The 7386-nt window shown below is 39.3% G+C and overlaps 1 annotated feature.

The window, feature by feature from the left end:
• Nucleotides 723-1017: an enhancer, noted in NCBI's record as "tiled region #3457; K562 Activating DNase unmatched - State 12:CtcfO". NCBI's record gives its function as "activates a minimal TATA promoter and a strong SV40 promoter by Sharpr-MPRA in K562 cells {active_cell/tissue: K562}" and the evidence as "EXISTENCE:reporter gene assay evidence [ECO:0000049][PMID:27701403]".

Genomic DNA, 7386 nt, shown 5'->3' on the forward strand with positions numbered 1-7386 from the left:
TCCCAGGAGTGAGTTCTTACTCAGTAAGTTCTCATGAGAGCCTGTTGTTAAAAGGAGCCTGGCATCTCCTCTGTTTCTCTCTTGCTTCCTCTCTCACCATGGAGCTCTGTACACGCCAGGTTTCCTTCACCTTCTACCATGGATGGAAGCCTAAGGCCCTCACCCGATGCAGATGCCTGTACTGTACTTCTTGTACAGTCTGCAGAATCGTGAGCTAAGCAAACCTCGTTTCATTATAAATTTCTCAGCCTCAGATATTCCTTTATAGCAACACACAACACACTAAGACACCAAATCATTATGCTAAAAATCGATAAATGTAAGTTATCACTTACCCTGCTTTTCTTATGTGGGCTGGACTTCAAGGTACCTAGTGGTTGATGAGGGAAAGTTCTTTATAGAACAATTACAGTTAATAAATGCAGAAAGAATGATAAATTAGAAAATGACTATTTTTGAAATATTTTACAAAATGATGAATCTAAGTAAAAATCATCAGTGGTTTCTAAAACCATTAGGTGAAAGATAGATAAGGATCCTTAATACTATATCTATTGATGAATCAGGTCAACCACATTTGAACCACATTTAATTGATGGATAACCAGACATTACGTGCCTCTTGCTGTGATACAATAGGAAGTATAGAGCATCATATATAGAGTATCCTTGCCTAAATAAATAAATCTTAAAAACTGAATCAAAAACAAACCTCTAAATCTTACTGTCAGTTTGTAGGAAATACTATTCTGTACTCGCTAAAATGAGAAAGTGAGTCTGACCTTAGCAAGCTTAGTGAAGATGTAGAACCCTGGAAACTCTCACAATCTGCTGCCAGGAATGCAAATTGGCCCACGCAGTTTGAATTTGACAACACACACAAAATGGGGAAAATCACCTCCTTGCCACTAGATGGTGCTTATTGGCTTTTGAGTAGTTTGTTGTATTGTTTTCTGTTACATTGCTGCATTCCTCTTTTTACTTCTGATGGATCACTGGAGGAACGGACTGGGCACTAGGGACTAGAGCCTCACCAGAATGTTGTCACTGGGATCCCAAAAGCCGTATCTGCTGCGGAACTATGTTGCCCCTGGGGACACATCTCTGAGAGTTGCTGCTTGCCCTAGCCACTTACATTATTCAGTTCCTTAACAATATCTGTCTCTATACTGTGTCGAGGGTATTTTTCTGAAGAATATATTTTTCAATACAGTCTTATTATTTTTAATTATTTCACATAATATCTGTGCTCTCTATTTAACTTTTTTAAGATAACTTTGAAATTATAAAATATGGTACAAGAAAATCCTTCATACACTTCATCTAGGCCCCAGGTTCACCACTTATTACGATTTACCATTCTCTCTCTCTCTCTCTAAATCATATGTATATAATTTATATATGCCATATATATTATTTTATATACTTTTATATATTATATATATTTTATATATTATATAATTTATAGATATGTATATAATTTATAGATATATTGTATAATTTATATATTAATTTATGTATTTATTATATAATATATGATATATAGTTTATATATATTATACATATATATACATTTCTAAACCTTTTAATAGTGAGTTGCAGACATAATGCCCCACTGGCCTTATAAACACAGACACTATTCTATAAAACCACAGCATACCCATCAAAATCAGAAAATTAACATGGATATAGTGCTATCTAATGTACAGACCCCTTTCAAATTTTACCAGTTATCCCAATAGTATCCATTATAGCAAACATACAACAAAACAAAATAAGAAACAAAAAACCCACAATTGTTTAAAAACTTCTTTCCCTTTCCCCTTTTCCTTTTTGTTCCAGGACTCAACCCAGGATTATCCACAGCATTTAGTTGTCATGTACATATCTTCTTCAATCTAGACAGTTCCTCAGGCTTTCCTTGTCTTTTATTATCTTGACATTTTTAAAGGCCAGATATTTATACTACCTTCAATTTGGGTTTGTCTGATATTTTTTCATGATTAAAGTTATGATTTTGCAGGGCAGGACTATCACAAGTGATACTGTGTTAGTGCATCATATTAGGAGGTGCACAATGTCAGTTTGTCCTATTACTGGTAAATTAACCTTTATCATTTTGTTTGTCCACTGTTAGTCTTATAAATAAATATGTTTATTTATTATTATTATTAATGCTATTATTAAATAATTAAAAAGCATTTTATGGGGAGATACTTTGAGACTATGTTAAGTATCTTTTCTCTCATCAAACTTTCACTCATTATTTTGGCCTCCTATTTTAGTATGGTTGTTATCAAATGGTGATTCTCTAATTCCATTATTTCTTTTTTTTTTGAGACGGAGTTTTGCTCTTGTTGCCTAGGCTAGAGTGCAATGACTCGATCTAGGCTCACTGAAACCACCTTCCGTGTTCAAGCAATTCTCCTGTCTCAGCCTCCTGAGTAGCTGGGATTACAGGCATTCGCCACCACACCCGGCTAATTTTTGATATTTTTAGTAGAGACGGGGTTTCACTATGTTGACCAGGCTGGTCTCGAACTCCTGACCTCAGGTGATCTGCCCGCCTCGGCCTCCCAAAGTGCTGGGATTACAGGCGTGAGCCACTATGCCCAGCCTATTATTTCTCCTACATTAACTATTTGGCTTAACTTGTAAAGAAGAGCTTTCCATTTATTTATTCATTTCTTTGTATCAGTATAGGTTCATGGATTCTATTTTATTCAATGGCTTATAATATGTTACTAACGTTATTTATTTTGATGCTCAAATTGTTTTGTATTTGGCAAGTGGGATCCCCTTCAGTTTGAATCCTTTGTCCTTTAATGTGGTTCAAATCTACTTTGAGAGCTTTCTTATTTTCTGGTGCAAGATGTTTCACACTCAGCTTATACTTTTGTCTGCACAGTCCTGAAACTGGTGACTTCTCCATGAGCCTTGGTTCCTTTTAGTAAGGTATTTAAAAACCAAGATCTGCGGTGACTCACGCCTGTAATCCCAGCACTTTGGGAGGCCGAGGCGGGTGGATCATGAGGTCAGGAGATCGAGACCATCCTGGCTAACAAGGTGAAACCCCGTCTCTACTAAAAATACAAAAAATTAGCCGGGCGCGGTGGCGGGCGCCTGTGGTCCCAGCTACTTGGGAGGCTGAGGCAGGAGAAAGGCGTGAACCCGGGAAGCGGAGCTTGCAGTGAGCCGAGATTGCGCCACTGCAGTCCGCAGTCCGGCCTGGGCGACAGAGCGAGACTCCGTCTCAAAAAAAAAAAAAAAAAACAAAACAAAAAACCAAGATCTGGGTACTAAGTGTGCTTATCGCTACAAAGATGCCACTGTTCACAGACCCTCTTACCAAACACAGCCAGAGAATACATATATATCCATTCCTATATATATTTCAACCTCTATATCTGCATATTAACACCACTATGAGCTCACAGAAGTATCTATAATTCTAATCATATACCACAGAGTTTTGTTTTGTTTTTGAGATGGAGTCTCACTCTGTCGCCAGGCTGGAGTACACTGGTGTGATCTCGGCTCACTGCAACCTCCGCCTCCTGGGTTCAAGCAATTCTCCTGTCTCAGCTTCCCAAGTAGCTGGGACTACAAGCACTTGCCACCATGCCCAGCAATTTTTATATTTTTAGTAGTGACAGGGTTTCACCATGTTGGCCAGGATGGTCTCAACCACAGAGTTTATTGTAGCCTTTCCTCTTTCTGTATTTGTTCTCCTTACTCTGTAAGAAAGTTGTCTTTCATTGTCCTTAATCTATTAATTTTCCCTGTAGGTAATCAATATCCAGATGAAGTGAATTATCTCTTTGGCAGAAACCACCACACGATATCCACAGTTTACTTCCTCAGCCCCAGCCCCTCTAAAACTTCCAGGCACACGATATCAGTCTCCCTACCCCAAATGATCTCCAGTCATTCATGATTCCTGCCTTCCCTGCAGTATGCACATAGGATCAAGCACCAAGGCCTGACTATGCTACCTCCTAAATTTTTCCTGAATCTGCATTTTCCTCTATATTCTATGTGATTGCATGACTAGGAAAACCTTGCCAACTGCCTAGTTAATCATTGATGTCATTGAGATAACTAATATAATCTTTCTCCCTCTCCCTTTAATTTTTTTGACTTATTAAGAATTATTAAGTGTTGGCCGGGCGCAGTGGCTCATGCCTGTAATCCCAGGACTTTGGGAGGCCGAGGCAGGCAGATCACGAGGTCTGGAGATCGAGACCATCGTGGCTAACACGGTGAAACCTCGTCTCTACTCAAAATACAAAAGAAAATTAGCCGGGCGTGGTGGTGGGCGCCTGTAATCCCAGCTACTCGGGAGGCTGAGGCAGGAGAATGGCGTGAACCCGGCGGGCGGAGCTTGCAGTGAGCCGAGATCCCGCCACTGCACTCCAGCCTGGGCGACAGAGCGAGACTCCGACTCAAAAAAAAAAAAAAATTATTAAGGGCCTTATTAGTCATAGGTAAAGATCAGCATATTTCCCCAGCCATGCTTGTTATCGTCCTAGTAATTATTCAAGGGGTTCAAGAATTGAACATGAGAAGTTAAGCCTTGGTCCTGGCCCACAAAGTGGGGAGAATGATACCCAGGTGACAGAGCTGTTTTAATTAAAGGATAGAGGGAGTAGGAGAAGGTGAGAGGCCATTTCTATCACTTCAGCCTCACTGGTGGGCTCCTTATCCTCTAGCTTCCAATCCTAATCTCTAATGGGTAAGGTCTAAAGCTCAGCTCTTCTCTCCTATTCTGGCAGGGATTAAATTCAGTATTAATCAGCTACTAACTAATTGCTAAGCTTCTATGGGTAGCTCAGGTGGATGCTGCACTCTTTCTAGTAATTTACCCAGGAGTCCAGTTGAACCGTACTTGTCTTTTAACAATTTTGCTTTGTCAACCACCTTGCTTTACCACCTCAGGGTTGATATAACAGGTGGGTGTGGGGTAAGGTTGGAAAAAAAAGTAACCTTTTTTCTGATTATAAAAGAAATCATTACATTATAGAAATTTGAGAAAAATAAAATGAAGAAAACAAAAAATCACCTATAATATCACAACCTCCTGATGTAATTTTTTCCAGTTTTTGCTATGGTTTTATAAAATAAACTAGACATTATAATAAGTATTAACCTTTATACTGTTTTTCTTTTTCTTTCTTTTTTTTGAGAGACAAAGTCTCGCTCTTCCACCAATGCTGGAGTGCAGTGGCATGATCAGAGCTCACTTTAGCCTCTTTGAACTCCTGGCCTCAGCCTCCTGTGTAGCTGGGACTGTAGGTACAAGCCACCATGCCTAGCTAATTTTTTTAAATATTTTTTGTAGAGACAGAGTCTCAAACTCTGTCTGCTGGTCTCAAACTCCTGGCTCCAAGTGATCCTCCACCTCAGCCTTGTTTTTTTCTTAACATTATAATATAAACATTCTTCCATTTAAAAATTCTTTTAAAACATTAATAAAAATATAGATGTGTCTAATTTCATAAGGTACAAATTTTTTACATGGAGGTTGTTTTCAGTTTTTTATTATTATAAATATTTCCAAAATAAACATTTATGTACATAAATCATTTTTCCACATTGATAATTACTTTCTTAGGTTAAATTGCCAGATCTAGAATTATCTGGCCTAAATCTGTGAATACAGTTAAGCTACTGGAGAATATTGCCTTATTGTTTTTCGAAAAGCTTGCTGTAATTTGCACTTTCATGGGCTGTGTATGAGAGTGAGTGCCTTTTTCACGCCCCAAACATTGCACCTTAAAAAACAGAGTAAGAAGTAATATGATGAAAAGGGGAGGTAAATAAAAAAGGGAGATCAGGCCGTCACTTGAGAGAGAACGTTAGCTTCTGAGTTCTCTCCTTCTACATGAGAATGTGATGGGGCTATTTAGCCATTCTGATCTTCTTGGGGGCCTTTAGCCTTGTCTAGGGAAAACATGTCTTGTACACGTCTAGGGAAACAAAAGATCTGAAATCATAAGATGCCTCAGTGCTGCTGGAATTCAAACTTACCATTTGACAGGAAAGAGAAGGAAATTAGATTGCAGAGGATGGATACTTTGGAACATCCTTCCTCCCTCCTTTTTTCTCACCCTTCACATCTGATCAATCTACAAATCCTGCTACTCCGCTTCCTCTCTGTCACCACCTCTCCACGCCTATTAGGTTCTCTAGTTCAGGCTGTCATCATCCTTCAACCTGAATAAACACAATAGCCTCCTAACAGATCTCCCTCAAGTCCATCCTTCTCCCAGAGTAATCTGTCTAAAGCACAAATGTAGCCATCACCAGCCCCACAAGCTCCCTTTAAATACCCTCAAGGATGCTTCTGCCTACAGAATGGAGGTGAAGCTATTTTTCCTGAAAGCAAGGGTGTCCTGACTTATTCCGCACCTGTTATTACTGCTTCATCTTTTCCTTTCTCCTTCCTTGTACATTATGCTTAATTAATAGCAACTACTGGTAGTTACTGCCCAAACACCATTCTATTTCTTGCCTCTAAATTGTTCGTTCCCACTACCTAGCATAACTTTCCTCCCTCTCTGATAATGACTAGGGCAGTATTCTATTCAAAATATTCTTTTTCAAAAATATTAATTGCCCATCCCTGGGGTAATATCTTACTTCCCTGCTCAACAGAAATCAGGTTTGGACACATAATTTGTTTGGACCAATAGTATGTGGGCAGAAGTTATGTTTATCACTTCCAAGCAGAAACTTCACGAGCCAGAATGTGACTTGCTATGGGTTTTTGTTTGTTTTTCTTTTTCCCTGCTATGAGATCAATAATGTTCTAGAAGCTGCTTTGTCAGCTTGGGTCCTAACATGAAAATATTGGCAATCTGGAATATATATGAATGAGACATAAACCTTGATTGCTGTAAGCCCCTGAGATGTTGCAGTCATTTGTTACTGCAGCATAATGTATCCTATCCTGACTGATAATACTGGCCATCTCCTAATCATTCTTTCAGACTAGTATTACTTCTATGACGTTCTGTACATGTATGGCTGCCTAATACTTAATGATACAAATAAATGTTTTCTTTGGATGATATGGTTTGGATCTGTGTCCCCACCCAAGTCTCATGTTCAATTGTAATCCCTAGTGTTGGAGGTGGAGCCCGGGGGGAGATGACTGGATCATGGGGCAGAGTTCTTATGAATGGTTTCATAACATCCTTCTTGGTACTGTACAGTGAGTGCGTTCTCATGAGATCAGTTTGTTTAGAAGTGTGTAACACCTCCTGTCTCTCTCTCTCTCTTTCCCTCTCTCTCGGTCCTGCTCCTGCCATGTAAGACTCATGCTCCCACTTTGCCTTCTGCCATGCTTCTAAGCTCCTTGAGGCCTCCCCAGAAGCAGAAGCCA

The sequence above is a fragment of the Homo sapiens genome, chromosome 4 (assembly GCF_000001405.40).
Source record: "Homo sapiens chromosome 4, GRCh38.p14 Primary Assembly".
Classification (NCBI taxonomy): domain Eukaryota; kingdom Metazoa; phylum Chordata; class Mammalia; order Primates; family Hominidae; genus Homo; species Homo sapiens.